This window comes from Homo sapiens, chromosome 11 (assembly GCF_000001405.40).
Source record: "Homo sapiens chromosome 11, GRCh38.p14 Primary Assembly".
Taxonomy (NCBI): domain Eukaryota; kingdom Metazoa; phylum Chordata; class Mammalia; order Primates; family Hominidae; genus Homo; species Homo sapiens.
In genome coordinates this window covers 4,186,406-4,208,219 of record NC_000011.10, presented here as the reverse complement: position 1 = coordinate 4,208,219, position 21,814 = coordinate 4,186,406, and the positions used below count along the sequence as shown (strand labels likewise).

Below are 21,814 nucleotides of genomic sequence, written 5' to 3'. Positions count from 1 at the left end.
AAATGGATTTAATTCATTTTTAAGGCTGTGTGAATTTTTCTAAACAAGAACCATTTAAAATATGGATTTTCATAGAGATTAAACCAATTATAACTCATCATTAGCAGTCACAAGCACATGTTCATATAGTCAATGTAAAAATACACTAATGAGTATTTGGTAAATCCCAGTAGGCTTTTACCATTAGCATAATTTTGTGCTGTACAATTAAGTTACAATTATATCTCTAATTTTGGATAATATTCTAATATTCATTGGTTAACAATAAAGTGACAAAAGCTAAAAAAAAAAGAAAAAAAAAAAAACCACCTTATATCCAGAACTTACAGGCTAGCTGGATTGTTTTTAACAAGATCAAATTAATCAAAGCAAAAAATATGTAAGACTGATGAGCAAGGTGTGTTTTCTAGGACAGTCTGTTTTCTCTAACATACCTTCTTAGTAAATGTAGTTTACTACTACAAACGTACATACAAGCTGTGAATCCTGAGATGAAGTGTTACGTTTCACAACAATTATTTTTAAATTTAGTGAAATATTTCAGAAAACTTCTTACAGAAAAATTAATCTAGGAATAAATTTTATGCTAACAAAAATGAGAATATGCATATATCTAATATAAATAGGGTCTTTGCCCCACCTCAGGAATGTTGTAGTCATTGTTACAATTTTTTAATTAATCTGTAACTTCCTTGTTGTCACAACAAAGGATAATGTTAGCCCAGAAGACTGCATTTCAAAGCTGCTTATGTTGACTACTCCTTTTTAAGTTTTTCATTATCTTATTTTGTATGCTGTTTTCTTTTTTGTTTGTTTGTTTTTTGTTTTGAGACAGAGTCTCGCTCTGTTGCCTAGGCTGGAGTGCAGTGTCACGATCTTGGCTCACTGCAACCTCTGCTTCCCTGGTTCAAGCGATTCTCCTGCCTCAGCCTCCCGAGTAGCTGGGATTACAGGCGCCCGCCACCATGCCCGGCTAATTTCTGTATTTTTAGTAGAGACGGGGTTTCACCATGTTGGCCAGGCTGATCTTGAACTCCTGGCCTCAGGTGATCCAACCGCCTTGGCCTCCCAAAGCCTCCCAAATCCTCCCAAAGTGCTGAGATTACAGGCGTGAGCCAGCATGCCCGGCTGCATGCTGTGTTTTCAACTAAAGTTTTAACCAAGTATGTATTAAAGTGTTTGGGGCTTATACATTTTGCAGCATCTGGTTGGTACCTTGATAGGGGGAAGCTCAAGAGGAATGAAAATGGGGGATGGTATGTGTCCATCTCCCACCGTGGCCCCTCAAATGAATGTGAGCCCCTCAGACATTGGGAAAGGCTGCACATGCAGCAGGTGCCTGTGCTTTGGTGAGGTGCTGACCGTCACAGCCATGGCCCTGGAGCAAGAGAGGCCAGCAGTAGAGTTCTACCTGACAGCCTGTTCTGAACAGCCCCTCTGCTCCTTCAAGGTGTTCTCATAAATATCCCCTTGAAGATAATGCTCTGTTACTGCCACCATTCTGATGCTGGAGGACTGCTTGAGGACAGGTCATCCCATGGGTCGTCGTGGAGGTTGCAGAGGTTATAGGCAGGGGCACAAGCAGAAGGTGAAAATGAGCACCCTATTTCTGCTCCAGTTAGCTGGAGATGGCCTATGTTTGTCCTTATCTCTCTTTGCAACCTACAAAGCCCTTTCATCTCTAAATCTGATGATCTTCACAGTCAGTTTAGAGAAAGCACTGCAATATGGAAAGAGCCCAGAGCTGAAATTTGTACTATCTGGGTGGCCTTACAAGGAATTGGGCCAGGGGCGGAGGGGGGAGGTCCTTTGACCACATGATACGGACATTGTTTCTAAGAAGTGATGTTTATTGAACCGAATAGGAACAGTGCCTTACATAGTTCTCATTTCACTCTCTCAACATTGCAATGATATCTTAGTTCTATTATCACATTTTGTAGAACTAGAGATTGAGGCTTACCAAAGTGAGTTAAATTACCCCCAAAACATGGGGGCAAAGCCAGGACTTCATCCCCAGTCTGTGTTGAAAGCTCATGTTCTTATCTCTGGTCAGATTGTCACCTTTTGAATACTCCATTCTTTCCAGCAGGAAAAGGTTCAACATCACCAGGAGTAGGTTATCTCTTATGGAGAGCAATGTAATTTTTTGTTATAACTCAAACATATCCTACTTCTGAAAGGTGTTTAAGGCAATAGCCAAAAATAATAGGATGTATAGGACAAAAAAGTAAAATACAAATCTGGTACCACACATGGGAAGGCTGGAATTGCACAAATAATTGTTCTGTAACAGAAAAGTTGTCTTCTGTGATTATACATAATATTGAACTCTGAGCTACCAGGTATCCATGACAACAGTAGGAAAATAAAATAAATCTAAAAATGTTGCTTCAGGAGAAACAGCCTTTTTTTTTTTTTTTTTTTTGGATGGAGTTTTGCTCTTTTTGCCCAGGCTGGAGTGCAATGGTGTGATCTCAGCTCACTGCAACCTCTGCCTCCCAGGATCAAGCGATTCTCCTGCCTCAGCCTCCCAAGTAGCTGGGATTACAGCACCCACCACCACACCCAGCTAATTTTTTATTTTTAGTAGAGACGGGGTTTCACCATGTTGGCCAGGCTGGTCTCAAACCCCAGGATGGGAGGCAAGAGGTTTGCAGTACAGGCTGGAGGAGAGGTGCTGAGAAGGGTGAGGCCAGGAGGATATGAATGGTGCATGTAAGTTATCTGATTCAGTCATCACAGGTATTCATTTACGCATTCATAAAATTACATTTCTTGAACAACTCAGTGGCAGGCCTTCTAATTCTTTCATATTCCATGTTCTTTATTAACTGGTCATTACAAAGGTACTGTGTAAACGCATGCTTTTTTTTTTGAGACGGAGTCTTGCTCTGTCTCCAAGGCTGGAGTGATCTCAGCTTGCTGCAAGCTCCGCCTCCCGGGTTCACGCCATTCTCCTGCCTCAGCCTCCCGAGTAGCTGGGACTACAGGCACCCGCCACCATGCTCAGCTAATTTTTTGTATTTTCAGTAGAGATGGAGTTTCATCATGTTAGCCAGGATGGTCTTGATCTCCTGACCTCAGGTGATCTGCCCGCCTCGACCTCCCAAAGCACTGGGATTACAGGTGTGCACCACCGCGTCCAGCCTGCATGCTTATTTTTTTAAACCAGAGGTACAGGGGTATACAGAATAAATCATGAAAGGCCCATTTCATCCTCTTCCATTACTCTCACTCCCCTTCGCAATGGAGTCCACTTCTACCCGTGTGGAGGGTATCCTTCCAGAATCATTTGCAAACAGTACACACACACACAGAGAGTTTTGTTTAGTTTTTATTTTAACTTAAATGTGAAGTTAGTTTCTCTCTTCTACAAAGGCAGTGATGTCCAAAAATATTTTCCACTTCATGACTCTCTTACAGTTTGAAAAATGTTGATGCCTGTTGTCAGAATCTTTACTCTTAAGAACCGTTAGTTTCTGGAAAAGTTTAATGAGGTATCATCTCCTCAGAGAGGATGGAGTGAGGCATCTGTGTGAGGCCTTTGGACACCACTCGTGTAGCCTGATAGACTGAAGTAAGATTCTGTAATTATGTCATACCTTGAAATGGGGAACCTGAGGAATCAGCCTGAGATGTTGGAGAGAAAGTGGAAACAGAGCGTCTGAGTTGGTCCCAGGGCCAGTCTCCTGCCCACATCCCTCCAGGATTCTGGGACATAAGCTTTTGTGTTTCCTCTGTGTCGTCCTGGATGCTGAGAGTGGGGCTGCTCAGATGGATGCTGGTAGTCCCCCGCCTGCCCAGCGAGGCCTCCTTGCCCTCACTGGAGCCATTCCCTGGTATTGACACATCTCTCCTTCCCCACCCCCAGGGGGACAGATATTTTTGTAGTTGAGGCAGAGGCCATGGGACAGACAGGGCCATTTTATTTGGGAGGGAAGGAGAGTTTAGAGAAAATGTGGAAAGCCTCTGCCTCCTTGAGGAGGTGGGGCTCTTCGCTCTGGCGTTCCCCTGTGCTCTGGATAGTGCAGCTCAGAGCTCACTGTCTGGGAGACACTCACTCCATTCCTCTCAGCCCTGCCGCCTCTGTGCCAGCCACTGCCTGTTCTCTGGGTTTCTCTCTCTGTCCCTCTCGTTACTGTGTAAATCGAGTCCTTGTCCATTTCTCGTAGGTCACTTCCTCAGCCTCACTTTCTAGTTAACAGTTTTCTGATTCTCTGAAATTATTTCCCATTATTCACTGTGTCTGATGATAACCTTCTCTTTTTCTCTTTCTGCAGCCAGGTTTGTATTGTGCCGTCTACAAGTGGCATAAACACAGGAACCCCTTTCCCTGTTCCTGGCCTGTGGACCTTTCTGTGAGGCATGGGGTAGCAGGAGAGAACAACAATGACAACGCCCTTTCAGGCTCCCTCTTCTCATGAACAGCTCCCTCTACAGCACAGAGAACAGTCTCTCCAGGCCTCTCTGGAAAGCAGCATTTTAAATTGCCTCACACCAGCTCCTGTCTAGAGTCCAGCCGAACAACAGAAGGAAAGTTCACCTTTACCAGTAACCCAAGAATTTCTAACTAGGGAAAAAATGGTGCCATTTTTTTCTACTGGATCACCTCCCGCTCCAGCGAAGATGAAAAGGCTAGCTAATTCCAGTGCTGGCATGGGTGTGAGCAAGCTGACAATGGGTAGGCTGTTGTTGGGATTATAGACCAATAAAACCTCACTGGATAATAGTTTAGCATTACAGATTTTTTTAAACCCTTTAACGTATATGCTTACATTTTACCCATCAATCCAAATCTGTCAGCTTATTCTCAAAAAATAACCATACAAGTTGTAAAATGTATATTAAAAGATAATGATCATGTCTGTTTTAATATGAATAAATTAAAAGAGCACATAAATACAAAATTATATTTAAAACTGGCTAACTTCGTTTTAGTACATCTATCTAATGGGCTGCATGAATACATTAGCAGCGTATGAAAGGAATATTTATTGATGTGGAAACATCTACTTCCTATATTACAGCAGGCAGTGTAAGCCTGATGTCTGCTTTGGTAGCATCTTAGTGGGGCACAGATTGTATGGAAACAGAAAGTTCATTTTAGCACAACAGCTATGGGTCAGGATTTTTTGTGGGCTGTTCTTGAGTAGAGTTAAACAGTTTTTGAGAAGCAAGCCAGAGTGTCTCTGAAGAGAACAGAGTGGTAGCTGTAGCAAGGATAGTCCTATGTCAGTGCTCACTCATGACACCCAGGTTGTGCTGAAAGGATTGTGATGACATTGTCAGAAGCATTCCATTGATGTGACATCAAGCTCCAGTTTTTACAGGACTGAAGGTTGGGATTTGTGGTGTAAGGCAAACTTAAGTACTAGAAAGGGCCTGTACTTCCTTCTGAAGTGTCTGAAGTGATACTTACTAGATTTTGTCAGTAATTAGTTAAATTCAGGGCAGTAGCTGTGGTTTGAAAAAGATGCACAAGGGAGTTTTGGTTTTTTCTTAAGTGGTAGAAGGAGATGACAGAGGTCAAAATTAATAAGACAAAGATCAAGTTGATCACATAAGCATTCTAGAAGGTGTTTTAATGTTTTAGAGGGTATCAAAGTGTGATAATGGAAAATAAAAAAGGTGCTGAAGAATACAAAAGTTAATCTTGTTCTGTCATCTTGAGCAGAAGCTACCAACTTCTGCAGTCAGCACTTTTGGAGGATTTCTAACAGCTCTCAGATTAGGAGCTCCTGGTGGGATGGATGCCCAGTGGTCAGGAAGGAGTGATGTGTGTCTCTGAAGTTGAGAAACATGAATCCAAGGATCAACACCTTGGAGTTCTACTGCTGTGTCAGTTAACAGAGGCTTAAGAGCAGTTTTTCTCTGGTGCCCTTTTCAGAAGACCAAATCCCCAGGTTACAGAGCATGCAGGGCCTGCACAGGTGGCTGTTGTAGAAATGCAGCGTTTACCTGTTGGTGATAAAGCTGGAGTTATTGTGAGTACCCTTCAGCAATGAATCATATCAGCTTGTACTCATAATGTAGAATCTAGGATTGCAAGTAGTGAGGAAGCCTGTTATGAATTCCAAAGGTGGCCACCTGTAGGTCCTGAAAATTGGTCTTACTTCCATCAACACCAATAGCACTCCTCAAGCCTTAGGAGTGTGAGGGTTTTGAGAGCTCTGATAATTATACTTTTAGAATTTTAGTTCTATCTTTTCCCTGAATTTTGTGGATGATAAAGGTCAGTAGAGATTCTGAGTAAAAAGTAAAGCATTGCAGGGTTCAGTAACAACAGTACCAGTGATATGTGTGTTCCTCTTAACTGCAAAATAAGTTGGGATTTTCCAAGTCAGAAATACAACAAAATTAAGCAAATTTGTTCCTACCACTATAGCTACCACTCTCCAGTAAGGTAAAACATCAACTAACCCTAAGAATAAACAACAATAATCAGAATGCACTCAGCACATTTGGAGACGTTCAAAGGGGCAGTGAGACTTCGGTTCCTGTCCATGACCTATCCTTAAAATCTTGCCAGGATTGTGTCATTGTCAGGTTGGACATATTTTGGAAATGTCTATGAAACCTCCTAAAATTACCCCCATCAATGTTGGTTCAATATCATGACAAATAAAAAAGAACAAGGTCATGTCCTTTGCAGGAACACGGATGGAGCTGGAGGCCATTATCCTTAGCAAACTAACACAGGAACAGAAAACCAAATACCACATGTTCTCACTTGTAAATGGGAGCTAAATTATAAGAACACATGGACACAGAGAGGGGAACAACAGACACTGAGGCCCGCCAGAAAGTGCAGGGTGGGAGGAGGGTGAGGATAAGACAAAATAACTAATGGATACCAGGCTTAATACCTGGGTGACAAAATAATCTGTACAACAACCCCTGTGGCATGAGTTGACCTATGTAGCAAACCTATACATATACCCCTGAACTTAAAATAAAAGTCAAAAAATAAAAAATAAAATAAAAATCATGGCAGATTTATCTCTTGTATTATGGGTAATATCATGAAGCACTTTTGCTAAATTCTACATTTATCATGGCCATTTCTTTAGGTAATGGAAAACTTCTCAGGGTTCCTTAATTTGCTATCCATTTTATAAGGATTCCTGTAACAGTCAGAAAATGTCCTTTTTTTTTAAAGCATTTCAAAATCATGGGCCAACCCAAAATCATACCCACCATCAGGACAAGTATTTGTTTTTTATCTTTTGTTGGCTGGCATGTCTGGACAAAGGCAATTTAGCCATCTGAACAGATTTCATTTCTTTGAGAAGCTTAAAGGTAAATTCAAGTCTGTGATAGTATAACATAATTGGCAACTTGTAGTTTTTCTTTTTAGGTATGAACCATCTACAAACAATTAAATGAGGGGTGTCCAAAAAATAAAATACTTGGGAATATACCTAACCAAGGAGGTGAAAAATCTCTAAAAGGAAAACTACAAAACACTGCTGAAAGAAATCATTGACAACACAAACAAATGGAAACACATCCCAAGATCATGGGTGGGTGGAATCAATATAGTGAAAATGACCATACTGCCAAAAGGGATCTACAGATTCAATGCAATTCCCATCAAAGTACCATCATCATTCTTCACAGAACTAGAAAAAATAATCCTAAAATTAATATGGAACAAAAAAAGACACCACATAGCCAAAGCAAGACTAAGCAAAAAGAATAAATCTGCAGGCATATTACCCAACTTCAAATTCTACTATAAAGCTATAGTTACCAAAACAGCATGGCACTGGTATAAAAATTGGCATGTAGACCAATGGAACAGAATAGAGAACGCAGAAATAAACTCAAATACTTAAAGCCAACTGATCCTTGACAAAGTAAACAAAAACATAAAGTGGGAAAAGGACACCATCTAGAAGAAAGAAACTGGATCCTCATCTCTCACCTTATACAAAAATCAACTCAAGATGGATCAGAGACTTAAATCTAAGACTTGGAACTATAAAAATTATAAAAGATAACATCAGTAAAACTCTTCTAGACATTGGCTTAGGCAAAGAGTTCATGAACAAGAACCCAAAAGCAAGTGCAATAAAAACAAAAATAGATGGGACCTAATTAAACTAAAAAGCTTCTGCACAGCAAAAGAAATAATCAGCAGAGTAAACAGACAACCCACAGGACGGGAGAAAGTATTTGCAAACTATGCATCATACAAAGGACTAATATCCAGAATCGACAAGGAATTCAAACAAATCAGCAAGAAAAAAAAAATAATCCCATCAAAAAGTGGGCAAAGGACATGAATAGACAATTCTCAAAAGAAGATGTACAAATGGCCAACAAACATATGAAAACTGCTCAACATCACTAATCATCAGGGAACTGCAAATTAAAACCACAATGAGATACCCCCTTACTCCTGCAAGAATGGCCATAATAAAAAAATCAAAAAAACCGTAGATGTTAGTGTGGATACAGTGAACAGGGAACACTTCTACACTGCTGGTGGGAATGTAAACTAGTACAACCAGTATGGAAAACAGTATGGAGATTCCTCAAAGAACTAACAGTACAACTACCATTTGATCCAGCAATCCCACTATTGAGTATCTACCCAGAGGAAAAGAGTTCATTATATGAAAAAGACACTTGCACATATGTTTATAGCAAAACAATTTGCAATTGCAAAAATATGGGGCCAGCCTAAATGCCCATCAACCAAAAAGTGGATTTTAAAAATGTAGTGTGTGTATACATATATATATCACATTTATATACACATATATATGTGATATATATGTGAGATATATATATATATATATAGTGAAATACTACTCAACCATTAAAAGGAACAAAATAATGGCATTTGCAGCAACTTGTATGGAATTGGAGACCATTATTCTAAGTGAAGAAATTCAGGAATGGAAAACCAAATATTGTAGTTCTCATTTATAAGTGAGAGCTAAGCTACAAGGACGCAAAAGTGTAAGAATGATAAAAGGGACGGTGGAGACAAGGGGGAAGTTGGGAGGGGGACGAGGGATAAAAGACTACACATTGGGTACAATGTACACTGCTCAGGTGATGGCTGCATCTCAGTAATTATCACTGAAGAACTTATCCATGTAACCAAAAATCACCTGTTCCCCAAAAACTATTGAAATTTTTAAAAGGTTAAAAAATAAAAATTTAAAAAAAGATCTGAAAGAGCATGATAGTCCCTTAACAGAGGTAAAGCCACCTCCTTTAAAAGAAGGAGGTGGCTGTGTGTAGAGTATTGCCACACTGGACAGTGATATGCGAAGGGGGAGGCAACGATATGTCACAGAGGGTAGGCAACTAGCAAAAAGTGGTGAGGATATTCTGTGAATATAAGCGTCCGCAGAGCATGGGGAACCACTAAGTTTAGCGGAGGCGTCAGAACTAAATCTACTGAAGTTGAAGTTTTCTCATATTTTTCTATCGCTATTATAACTCTTAGGGAGGTGGATAACCAAGAAGCGCTGACTGTTTTCTCTCAGTAAAACAGTGTTCACTATGGGGAACCATTCAGTTTGGTGGAAACTCTAGGACTAAGTTGGCTGAGGCTTCCACAAGCTTTGCTGCTGTTGTCATAGCTCTTGGACAGATATGTTTTGGCTACTGGCTCTAATGAAAGACTGAGATGGCCCATAGGCCTCTGCTCAGTGCTGCCCTGAGACGTACTGGAGACAGAGACAAAAGGAAAAATGTGTGCCCCTGTGTACACGTATTTCTGTATTTGCTAGTGGCTATTTTTTCCAGAACATTAAAGAAATATTTAAAATACTGAAAAATTGAAAAGTAGATTATTAAAACTCATATTAAGGTCACATATATAATTTCACTTCCCTGGATTTAATGGAAGTGAACTCATCCAAAACAATAAAAGACTGATAAATTGTATTATATAAAAATAAAATTATTTTATTATACAAAAATAAAATTATTTTATTATACAAAAATAAAATTATTTTATTCAAAAAAAAAAAGAAAAAAGAAAAGTCCTGGCCGGGTGCTGTGGCTCACGCCTGTAATCCCAGCACATTGGGAGGCCAAGGTAGGCAGATCACCTGAAGTCAGGAGTTTAAGACCAGCCTGGCCAACGTGGTGAAACCCCGTCTCTACTAAAAATTCAAAAATTAGCCGGGCGTGGTGGCGGGCACCTGTAATCCCAGCTACTCAGAAGACTGAGGCAGGAGAATCGCTTGAACCTGGGAGGGGGAGGTTGCAGTGAGCCGAGCCTGTACCACTACCCTCTAGCCTGGGCAACAGAGCAAGACTCTGTCGCAGAAAAAAAAAAAAAAATCCCAAAATAAATTAAACACTGAGAGAAAAGATCGGTAATATATAACACAGATACATATGTAATATCGCTAATATATAAATAACTTTTTCTACTCGATAGAAGTTTCAAAAACCTGATATAAAAATGGTCAAATAGTCAAAGACATAAACAGACCATTGACTGAAAAAAGAATTAAAATGTCCCGTAAACATGTGAAAAAACATTCAGCCTCAACTATAATAAGAGAAATGCAAATTAAAATAACACTGAGATATTATCTCTCACCTAGCAGATTGGCAAAAATGTAAACATACACTAACACGTTCTGTTGGCAAGGCTTGAAGAAAGTAGATGCTCAAGCATTTCTGATGGGAATGGAAATTAGTACAACCTTAATGGGGGAGAATTTGATGATATCAAACAAAATGGCACATGCTTTTCCCCCTTTTTATAATTTATCCTGGTAATACATATTCAAATATATACAAAAATACATATGTTTAAGGATTTTCATTGTAGCATTGTTTATAATTGAAAAATATTAGAAACAACCAAAATGACTTTACATAGGAAAATGGTTGAATGAACTATGGTACATCATCGAATGGAATAGTCTGCAGCTATAAAAATGAATGAGGATGACATCTATAAACTGATATAGAATGGCTCCCAAGATATGCTGTTAAATTTAAAAAGCAAAGTGTGAGAAAGTGTTTATGGTATGCCACGTTTTGTGCAAGAAAGAAAGGGGAATAAGAAAATATATATTTGTCTGCACAACTATACAAAAAGAAACTTAGGAAAGGAAACCCAGAAACTAATGAGATTGGTTCCATACAGGAGTGGGTGGAAATGGAGTGACTAAAGTTGCAGATAGCAAAATAAGTCACTTTTGTCAGACCCGAGCAAACTGGAGCCAGAACACACAAAGGAGCACAGCTCATGCTTGCACATCTGAGATAAGGACTATTTCAAGGACTTTCTAAAATAACTCCACGAGAAATTCCTTCATCTTTTATACATCTCATGCTTTTCATGATCTACATTTTACATGCATTTTACATTTTACATGCATGCACATATTTCTATGACCAGGTTTATCACTATACATTCTTTAGGACTGTAGCAATTCTGATAAGATGCTAGGCCGATGCCTAGCAGTGGCATCTCCACCAATGAACTGATGCTAATTCTAGCTTTGAGCCTCCAGAACCAATGAACTCTGTCTCCAAGCAGCTTACATAGCTTCTCCTTGCCAGTAAAAATTTCCCTTTACCTTTGGCTTGATGTACCTGTACCTATGGCTTGCTACAGCTGTGCTTCCCAGATTATAATCCTTTTGCTTACTCCCGAATAAACTCAACATATTAGGATATATTTTTCTCTGATGTCTTTTTTTAGCCTGATGGGTGAAAAGAATAAGATGGTGGGAGCAAGGTAGAGAAGATGGAGGGCAGTGACACTTCTCTGAGTTCATGTTTTTGTACAGATCTGTTCTGACTTTTACAACCATGTTAATGTTTCATGTACTCAGTTTTTCAGTAAATACAATCAACAAGGATAAAAGGAGGAAACATTAGCATTGAATACATATGGAAGCAAGTGTACCGAACTGTAGGTTAAGTGAATGACAAAACACAGTACGGGTAGGGGGTGATAACAGAAGTTTTGAAGCAGTACTTTGCCTCTGTATTCTCAGGCTAGGGCAAAAAGACAGTAGCAAATATTGAACTCTGTTTAATAGATTTGTTTCCCACACCAGCATGAGTTAACAATTCTGAAACTACATTCTGTGTATTCTAGGATTAAGCAAATAAGTAAATATACTGTGGGTAACTGAAACCAGGTTTTTCACGGTTGGAGAAGGAAATTACATATATGGAAAGAGAGAAGGTTAAAATGAACTCTAGAGTGTTGGATTGGAACTGGTCATATCAGTATGAACTCATGGTTTTTAAGAAAGATAGGTAGGTAAGTAGGTAGGTAGATAGATGAATGGATTTGCATGTGTGTGTGTGCATATTTACATAATATATATACTACACACACATGTGTGTATATGTATGACAGGGCCTAAAAATAACAACACTCTGGCAATGAACAGACCTATTCCAGGTCTTGGTTTGTTTTTATACACAATTCTCTGCTAAAAGGAATCAGGGTTTCTTAGAAAAATACCAGATTACAGAGTTTGAGCCGGGAAAGTACAAGATGAGCCTGGAATATCTTGTAGTAACAGAAAGTAAGGAAGTGCTCAAAAAGTAATAGCAGTGTGTCAAAAAGACACAAGAATCAACTTGGAGGAGCTCTCACAGGACTAATCTGGGATAATTTTGATCATCAAAATCACCAATGCTAGTAACAAAGCATAACTAATTAAATAAAATAAATATCTATGAATCCAGACTGACTGAATGGAAGATGGGTGGGTAGGTAGATGGATGGATGGGCGGGTGGATGGATGGATGGATGGATGGATGGATGGATGGATGGATGGATTGGGAGGGAGGGAGGTAAACTCTTCCTTACAGTAGAGTAACAACTAATAAATGTATGAGAAATAATGGAAGCAGAAAATTCACCATTTTACAACCATTATACCTCAAACACTAATCATCAAAGGATGCTAAAATTTAGTGGGTAAAGTCTGATGAGAAACAGAATATTTATATCATCTCAAAGTATTTCCCAAAGCTTAATTACCAAATGAAAATATTAACTTTGCAATGGCAGACAAAGCCTGGCAGACACCACCTTATCCAAGTGACCAAAGTTATTATCTCCAGCAGTGGGACAAAAACCAACATCATGTGCCTCCTGATAACAATGCACTGAGAAGGACACAATATCACTTCTGTGGCATTTCTGCCAGAAATACATAACTGGAATCTAATCATGAGGAAACATCAGACAAACCCAAATAAGGTCATTCTACAAAATAATTGTCCTGTACCCCTCAAAAAAGAAAAGTGAAAGAAAGACCAAGAGAAATCGGCTTAAAGAAGACTAGAAATGACTAAATGTAACATGATTCTAGACTAAATCCTAGACAAGAAAAATATGTATTTTTTTCCTTCTCTGGCTATAAAGACATAACTAAGACATTCGGTGAAATTTGAATAAGGTTTGTAAATTAGAGTATAGCATTGTGTCTTCTTAATTACCTGCTTTTGATAACTGTGTGATAATTTTATGAGAATATTTTTATATCTTGGGAAATACACAAGGATATATTTAGGGGTAACACAGCACATATATGTAGATCAGTATCAAATAGTTCAGAAAAAAATGATGTTGGGGAGGGAAAGAATTATAAGGTATATGTAGTTAAATATTAATATATATGGAACTTGAGAGGGGATATATGGAAATACTGTACACCAACTGTTACAAATTTTCTATAACTCTGGAATTATAAATAAAATTAAGTTTTTAAAAGAAAATCATGTAAGGCAGGAGGAAAGTAAAGTTAAAATAACCCAAGTTCCTTGAATGGCTCAGGAAAAGGAGTAAAGATTTTACTTATTTAAGTCAAAGAAAAATGTAGGAAATTGTAGGATAACCACTAAAGCGGTGGAATAAGGCAGTAAATCTTCCAAAGAACAGAGAAGAGAACTAGCTAGAGAATCTCTGGAAACCTGGGCAGGAGGGCAGCTTTGGCGCCAGCTTGATGATGGCCATCAGCTGCAGCCACAGTCTAGCTTGTGGCCAGACACACTCCAGTTGTTGCCAGCCCCTCCCTCACCCACTCACTATTCCTTGTCCTCAGGACTGACCCAGGAGTTTGTCCCTTTGAATCAGCCAAGGAGGACTGGCTCTGATGTAAGCCCTGCCCAAGGGGCCCAGAATAAAACAGAGGAGGGAGGCCTTCGAACACAGTGGGCAGCACTGCTCCATTTTTCCGACGCTGTGCTGGGCCCTGAATCAGGGAGGAGCCAGCTTCCAGGAGGTGAGCCTTTCAAGACAGCAGAGGGGCTGATGTGAGGGACGTGTCCTCAGACTGAGGAGTAAATGCTGGGTAGGTTGTTGTGGGGGTCGGAGGGGAGGTTCTTGGCCAATCAAGTGTGAAATTTTTTAAAAATTGCCTGAGGCAAGAGGAACACCTGAGCCCAGGAGCTGTGATCACACCAATGCACTCCAGCATGGGTGTGGGTGACATAATGAGAACCTGTCTCAAATAAAATAAGAATAAAAGTATATTGCCCTCCCCATCTCATTTTTCCACTATTGGTAGTAATGGTTCTGCAAGCGAGTACCTATGCAACCATTTAGAGGGAACACAAATGGGAGAGGAGCCTGCCTTCTCTGCCTTGAGGCTGGCAGTGGTGAGAAGCAGCCCCAGATTCAGACTGGGGATGTGAGCATGGAAAGCAAAAGTAAGATTATAATCCTAAGAATCAAAACAATAAGCAGGAAGTCTTTGTAATCAGAAAGTTCTGGTAAATCTGAAGGACTCCCAGCTCTGGGGCAGCTGGACACTTCGATTTCCCTCTCTAACACCTGGCAGAAGCTCACAGCAAAGAAGCATCCCCACACCTGCTGGCCCGCACCAGTCTGCCCATATGTCTTCCTGGATGCTGGTGTGGGGGTGACGAGATGGAACCAGAGTTTCTCCAAATGTCTGCATGAGCAGCAAACCGCCTCCTACACACATACCCCTAAGAGCCCTCTGAATCATGGACCTGGGAGAGGAACTTTCATTCCTTTGTTTATCGTAGTAAGGGCAGTGCACAGACTTCAAGTCCTGGAAAGCACAGAGTTTTAACTATGCTCCTCCACAGCCACAATAGGGCCTGGCACAGAGTTGGCTCCAGAAGAATCACCAGCCTCTACCCAGTCTGGATCTCACCTCCCTACAGAGGCCTTAGATCCAGAAACAGCCACGACTCCTTTGTGCCCCATCCCCCAATTCAGGTCTTAAACCTCCCTGTCATCTCACTGACCTGCCAAACAAGTCTGACTTAAAGATCTAACCTTTCGCTAGAGGGTTTTAGGGTTTCAGTGTAAATAATTCTGTGGCATGACCAGACTGAACTCAACTGCGCATGGCCCCCGCAGTTGCAGACCAAGCCTACCCCAAACCTGCATACACAGAAGTGTGCACGCACACTGATGGGGGGACAAGGAAAATGGGAGGATCTGTAGCTGAAGGATGACCCACAGCTGCTGTGGGACAGCAGTGGCTGCAGCATGAGGACAGCTCTGGAAGAAGTGACTCAGGTTAGCCAAGCCAAAAGCCAATCAGACTTCCTTACCAGGAAAGAGGCCGCTAGGAGTCAGTGGGGTGGACCTTTAGGATAATTCCAATGGAAGGGAGGATTCTACCCAGGAAGAGGAACCAAGGTCTCACTTGGACTCACCACCCCATGGAAGAGAAGTCTCTTCCAGCAAAGAACTGAGTCCTGACAATCCCATCTTCCTCCCTGAGCTGTCACCTCCACCACAGTCTGCTCCCAGTCACCTTCATGAGAGTCCTCTGGACATTGGAGTCTTCCTTGCACCCTGGACACCAGCACCTGCCAGAGCCACAGCCCTCAGCCTCTGGGCTGCTAACTTCAGGCCACATGATGGTATTCCCCTCTCTCAAATTTAGAACATCAGTTGCTTCAGAAGAAATTCTTCCCATGCCCCCTGCTTAAAGGAACACAGGGAGGCTGAGGGAGGAGCAGAGGTGACAGGAGGAAGAGAGGTTGTCTCCTGGAAGTATGCTCCAGACCCCCAAAAGGCACGTCAGCCCTCAGGTGAAGGACTCCCACACCACCAAGCCTCTGCAGCCCTGAGGCCCCCCAGACCCACTGACAGCAACAGGCAGCCGAGCTGGGAGAGCTGAGGCAATCCCAAATTACCACTGAGTCTTGATGAAATGGCCTGCGTGGAAAACGTCTTGCTCCAAACCACCAAGGAGGCATGGCTTATTCACCAGCTCTTACAAACTTCAATTTACCTCCATTTTTGGAAAACAGTTTTTCTCCAAATTTAACAACACAACTTACGGACCAGGTAGCTGATTCCAGCCCCATCCCCTGTACCCAGATTCCTCCCTAGGGGCTCCCCTTCATCACATAGCTTCCTGTGCCCACTCTAAGCCAAGATCGAATCCACGTGGCCCAGCTGGGCCCCAACCTCCCCAACCCTTTCTCACTGCCCCTACAGATTAACCCAAAAGCTGTTTCTCTTCTAAGAGACTTTTCCTATTGGTTTTTGATCAGGGGACTGGGGCCACAAGAGGCTACATAGTCTCCTGACCCCTCTCTGACACCTTCCCCAGAAGAGGAGGCCCGAGGCCACCTCCTACTGAACTGCCACCTGCCCCACCGAGAACCTGAAGATTTGGTCTCACAAAGGCCTCTCCACTGGCCCAAAGGCAGAGTCAGAGCAGATGGTTCAGGAAATCTGCCCACTCCAGGGCCCTGCAGGCTCAAGGGCACCACTTGCTGTTTGAGGGGCTGCTGAGCATCTAATGAGATATAATATGAAAGTGCTTTGTGAACTGAAAAGCATCCTGCAGACACTGGAGGAGTTCAGGGGGAATCCAGGAACGTGATCAGGTGCTGAACCAGCAAGGGAGGCACTCAGGAACCTCCTGGGAGAATTCTGCCTGGGATTGTGCCACCCAAAAAGGATTCTTGGGAAATGGGGTCCGTGCCAGTGATGGAAGCAGGCCTGCCCAGCAGAGATACCCACGTGCAACCACTGCCAGGAACAGGCCGCAGGGAGATTAGCTTTGGCAGGAACTGGCAGAGGGAAGCAGGGACCTCGGCCTGCCAAGTGCCCACAGAGGGGAGAGGGGGACTGGATCCCAGCCTTGGCAGGAACGAGCTCCCAGTAGGACTCGGCTCCCAGGAGTGAGGCAGGCAGCTGTGCCAGGTCTCGCGAAGGAAGGAGGGTAAGAAACTGTTGGTCTGCAGGGCCGCACTCATGGGCCTGCCCTCTGGCAGAGGGGGTGCCAGAGTCTCCTCTGGGATCTCCCTATGGGATGGATTTGGCACTCACAACCCTCTTCACGATAGCCGAGGAAGACTGCAGGCCTGCCAGGTCTTGCCCTCTGTCCCCGCTGCAAAGCGGCCAGGCACCCAAAACAGAATTCTTCACCCTACTGTCCCCTTCCTTTACCAGGGGTGATTGTCAGCATACATAACGACCGATACCGTTCACAGTGCAGGCAGGGTTCCCACAAGCCACCACGGGACAGTGACACTGGGGAGGCACCATCCAGCAGACACAGCCTCAGGAGCCAGAAGTGTATATGGGGATTCCAGCACTTCCCCTGGGGAAGTGAATTCCCACTGACGTCCAGGTGCATACCCTGGTCAAGAGGACACATAGGGACTGGGGTCAGAGCCCAGGGAATACACTGGGCAGACAGTGTATGGGCCAGTGAGCACCAGCAAGGTTCCAAGGACAAGGTGGCTGGGGGCCTCAGGGAGCCTGGGGCCTCAGCCATTTCCAAATGACAACTAGTGTTTCGGTATTTCAGTAACTGGCCCTGCCCTACTTGACACATAGTCTAAATATCAAGCCTACCCTTCCCACCTCTAGCTCTTCCTGACATCCACCACCTGTCTCCCACATGAGGGGCTCCCAGGGCACAAGACTGTAGAATGAGCCATCCAACAATCCTGTGACCTGCTTCCTCAACCCCCACACATTAATGACACTCCAGCCTTGGCCATGACCAAGTGCCTCTCCCTTCCTCATATTTCTACCCTACTTACACTTTCATGACCGCAAGTTCATATGATCCTTGCCCCAAGAGCTGAGTTTGTACCAACAAGTATTCCCTTTCAGCAGGGATACTGTAGCCAGCCTACCCATGGCCCTGCTCCCACCTCTGTAAAGCCTTGAGAGAACCTGAGGTTCACCAGGTCATCTTCCCACCCAAACCACACTCTGTTCTGTCCCACCCCCTGGAATATCACTCAGCCTTTCTTATCCAAGGCCTTCCTGCAGGCTGTACTGTGAGGCATACTACACACTCTGCACCCAGACTTTCTTTTCTTCCTTCCTGCCTCACCTAGGCCTGGTTGTGGAAGGTGGTGGGGGCATGGGGGCACTCAATACTTGAAAGATTCCTTAAGGAGTATTCCACCCAAGATACTAATAAGGATGGAGAACTGATCTGCCCAAGGCCACAGTGAATTAGAGACTGAGCAAGAAGGTAGAGCCCACATCTGACTCCTGTCTAGTTTGTTTTCTTCAGCAGCATAGACAAGAAGCCTATCTCTGCAAACCCAGGACAGACCCTCCTCCCCTGAGCAAAAGGAAATCCTCTCTTTTCAGCTCCTGCCAAGGTGTGGGCCCTTAGCAAACAATAGGCCAGCTGAAGGCCTTGGAAACAATGCAGGCTAAAGAGAGGGTCACCATGAGCAGACCTGCAGGTCTGTCTACCTGGAGAAGTGGTTTGTTTGCTCTACTTGTCTTGTTTTTTGTGTGTAGGGGTGGGGGAGGTGAGGAGGCGGTGTCGGAAGGGCAGTACCACCAAAGTGGCTAACATTTTCCAGACAGCAGCCTGGCCCCAGTGCCACTTCTGTACCTTCAGGAACACAGCGGCCATGACTGGTGCTCAATGTGCCCAAGTTTACTGCATTGTAATGTGTAAGAAGATGCTATGATGGTTGCAATCTTAGAGGGTAGACTAGGTGCAGAGAGGGACAGGGGACTTGGGAACTGCCTCCCACTACCCCTATAAAAATATCTGCCTGATAACAATTTGGGTTGGGTGACTTATAAAGGAAAAAAGAAAAGAAAATCTCTGCCTGACAGCCACAAAAGTGCTGCTGCTCATGCCAATACACCTCATTCCCTAATTCCAAAATGGCTAGCAAGGTCCCAACATCAGCCTTTTCCAAGAACAGTCTCCTTCAGAGTTATTATCCTAGTACACGGTTCAGAAAAGGTCCTCAAAGCAGCCAATCTTGGCTTTAGATGATGATAGTGATACTTTAAACAAAAACATGAAAGAATTCAAGTTCCTTTGTAATCTAAGCAACCCACACCTTGAGGTTGGCCTGCACATCTGAAAGGGAAATCGAAAACATTTTATAAAATACAGCATTTTAAAGAGCCAGGGAGGTAATTTTGAAAAAGGGACCAGAAACTTCCCTTTCAGTTAAGACTTCTTGCCTTTTTCTACAGAGTGGTGAAGTCTTCTCTATACCACTCCAGTCTAACGTGACCCTGACTACCAGCACTCAGGGGTGGATGGGGAGTGGTTACTACTGTCAGGAACCCATCTCTTGTGGATTAAAGTCTTCTGTGCCCCCCCAAATTCCTATGCTGAAGCCAGAACCCCCAATGAGGTATTAGGAGGTGGGGCCTTTGGGAGGTAATTAGGTTTAGACTAGGTCAAGAGGGTGGGACCCTCCTGATGGGATTAGTGCCCTTATAAGACAAGGAAGAGATCTCTTGTCAATGCAATCTGACCACACAAGCATCAGGCATCACAGTCCAGAGGGGGCACAGTATAAAGGGGTGAGGACCCGGGTATTGAGTAAAGATGAGCTATTTGCAGGCAGGTAGCATCAGAGCTTTCTGGGCCAAAGCAATAACGATACAACAAAAAGGAAAGGCAGGCAGCAGATCCTGCACAGTTTGGGCCAAAGGGACCTCACAAGCACAGCCCTGCTCTATTACGCAGTGAGCGCACGCTCCCACCAGGCCTGGTGGGCACAGCAGCTGAGGCTCCCTTTCTCAGGAAAGAGAGGCTATTCAGAGAGCTACTGCACTGCCTGAGACCCTCGGCTACTTCCACAGATGCCGCTAACAAGTGAAAGTAGACTTTAGGATGCTGCTTTCATAGTTAAGGATTAATTGGGTTTAAGGCTAGAACTGGAATTGGTCATTGAGTTTTAAAGACTGTTGCCAGATAATAAAGTTGAAAAATACGAAGCATCCAAAAATCTGAACGCCCAAGACCTTTTCCTACAGCTCTATCAGCCTCAGAGCACTCCTTCAAGATTTCATTGCTATTAAAATAGCTGAGTGAGGAAGAATCAGGACCAGCGCGGCTCCGCAGTCCCTCCCTACTGGCTCCCCGCCCACTAACTTGCAGATCAACTGTGCTTTCCTCGTTGGCACCCACCCCAGCCCCCGCTCAGGCCCCGGCAATGAGACCAGCGAGCGGCGGTCAGAGTGGCGCACCCGCGCTCGACTGCTGCTGTCGGCCCCGCCGGGCTCATTCAGTGGACTCGGGCGCCCCCGTGAGGCCGCGGGTGGGCGGCGCACCTAGCTAGTGCGCCCTGGGTCCCGGCGGCAAATCCTCGCGGCCTGGCACTCACTTGCGCGCCATCTGGACTGCCGCCCTCTTCCCCCGAGCCTCGTCAGCGCCCGGCGGATCGGCTGTTTGCTAGGTCGCCGGGGTCCCTAGGGCCGAGTCGGCGGTGGCCGGCCAAGCAGAGCTAACGAGACCCTTGGGAGGGCAGCTGCGGCAGCCGGGCCATGGCAACTTGTCGCGCTGCCGCCGCCGCCGCGGCCGCCGCAGTGTAGGCTCGGCAGTGCCCCCAGGCCCCGCACCAGCCCGCGACCTGCTCCGCCGCCGCCCTTCTCCCAGTCCCTGCCCCGCTGTCAGCGGAGGCCCCCACGAGCTCTACACTGAGCGCCTCCCCGCACTGCCCCGCGGCGAAGTCGCCGTAGAGGAAGACCGGGCTGGGGGCAAAGGGGCGTCAGCCCTGCCCACTCCCAGTGCCATCCCCGAACGCGCCCTCCCCGGCCCCTCCAAAAACCTGGGTGTGGCCGTCCCCTGCCTGGGGCCCTCATTGAACCGAGGCCTCATCCATCTTTAAAAGGGAATGGGGAGGGAAGGGAAAGAGCCAGTCGCCCTCTGGCGCCCAGCCTGGGATGTGAGGGTGCTCCACTGACACACTAAAGTGAAGGGCCCCGGAGCTACCTACTGAGCTCCCCATCTGGGTGGGGAAAATAATGGTGTTATTTCATAGGGGTGTCACGGCGATAATAATCTAACGTTTATTGTCCATTTGCCAGGAATTAGGCTGTGTACGTTACTCCAGTGACCTCATTTAGTTCTTACAACACTGATGGCCCCATCATGAGTGTACGTTTATTCCCATTTTACATATGGGAAAACTGAGGCCTAGATTCATATGACTTGACCTGAAGGCACACAGCCAGTGACAAAGCCAAAGCTCTTTACCCCAGTGTTTTCTCTTTTTTAATTATTTTTGGTACAGACAGGGTCTCTCTATGTTGCCCAGGCTGGTCTCAAAGTCCTGGTCTCAAGTGATCCTCCCACTTAGCCTCCCAAAGCACTAGAATTATAGGCATGAGCCACCACGCCCGGCCTACCCCAGTGTTTGAGAAAGTGTCTTCCAGGAGTCACAACTCCTCAGAACAAAGGATTTCATGGCCCAATAATTTGGGGAAACACTGCATGTTGTACTTCCCTCTGCTTTTGTGGGGTCTGACAACGTTTAGTGAGCTTGAGTCTCTCCAAGAAGAAAAGTGTTTAACTTGGTTTGATTCAGTGTTTTCCAAACTTATTTGAACAGAGAACACTTTTAAAAA

The 21,814-nt window shown here is 44.1% G+C and overlaps 1 long non-coding RNA gene across 1 annotated transcript, besides 5 other annotated features; it reads right to left on the bottom strand.

The window, feature by feature from the left end:
* Positions 3,876 to 4,377: an enhancer, noted in NCBI's record as "H3K27ac hESC enhancer chr11:4225073-4225574 (GRCh37/hg19 assembly coordinates)". NCBI's record gives its function as "activates a minimal SCP1, AML or CMV promoter by ChIP-STARR-seq in primed H9 embryonic stem cells {active_cell/tissue: H9 hESC(primed)}" and the evidence as "EXISTENCE:reporter gene assay evidence [ECO:0000049][PMID:30033119]".
* Positions 5,567 to 21,068, bottom strand: LINC02749 (long intergenic non-protein coding RNA 2749). Its single transcript, NR_047550.1, has 2 exons — positions 21,016 to 21,068; positions 5,567 to 5,961 (listed from the first exon to the last, which is right to left on the bottom strand). It is a non-coding gene; the product is annotated as a long intergenic non-protein coding RNA 2749 (long non-coding RNA).
* Positions 13,665 to 14,165: an enhancer, noted in NCBI's record as "H3K4me1 hESC enhancer chr11:4215285-4215785 (GRCh37/hg19 assembly coordinates)". NCBI's record gives its function as "activates a minimal SCP1, AML or CMV promoter by ChIP-STARR-seq in primed H9 embryonic stem cells {active_cell/tissue: H9 hESC(primed)}" and the evidence as "EXISTENCE:reporter gene assay evidence [ECO:0000049][PMID:30033119]".
* Positions 14,166 to 14,666: an enhancer, noted in NCBI's record as "H3K4me1 hESC enhancer chr11:4214784-4215284 (GRCh37/hg19 assembly coordinates)". NCBI's record gives its function as "activates a minimal SCP1, AML or CMV promoter by ChIP-STARR-seq in primed H9 embryonic stem cells {active_cell/tissue: H9 hESC(primed)}" and the evidence as "EXISTENCE:reporter gene assay evidence [ECO:0000049][PMID:30033119]".
* Positions 18,531 to 18,756: a silencer, noted in NCBI's record as "fragment chr11:4210694-4210919 (GRCh37/hg19 assembly coordinates)". NCBI's record gives its function as "represses an EF-1alpha promoter that drives an FKBP-Casp9 reporter gene in an ReSE screen in HepG2 liver carcinoma cells {active_cell/tissue: HepG2}" and the evidence as "EXISTENCE:reporter gene assay evidence [ECO:0000049][PMID:32094911]".
* Positions 20,384 to 20,573: a silencer, noted in NCBI's record as "silent region_3094". NCBI's record gives its function as "represses an Ori minimal core promoter by ATAC-STARR-seq in GM12878 lymphoblastoid cells {active_cell/tissue: GM12878}" and the evidence as "EXISTENCE:reporter gene assay evidence [ECO:0000049][PMID:35858748]".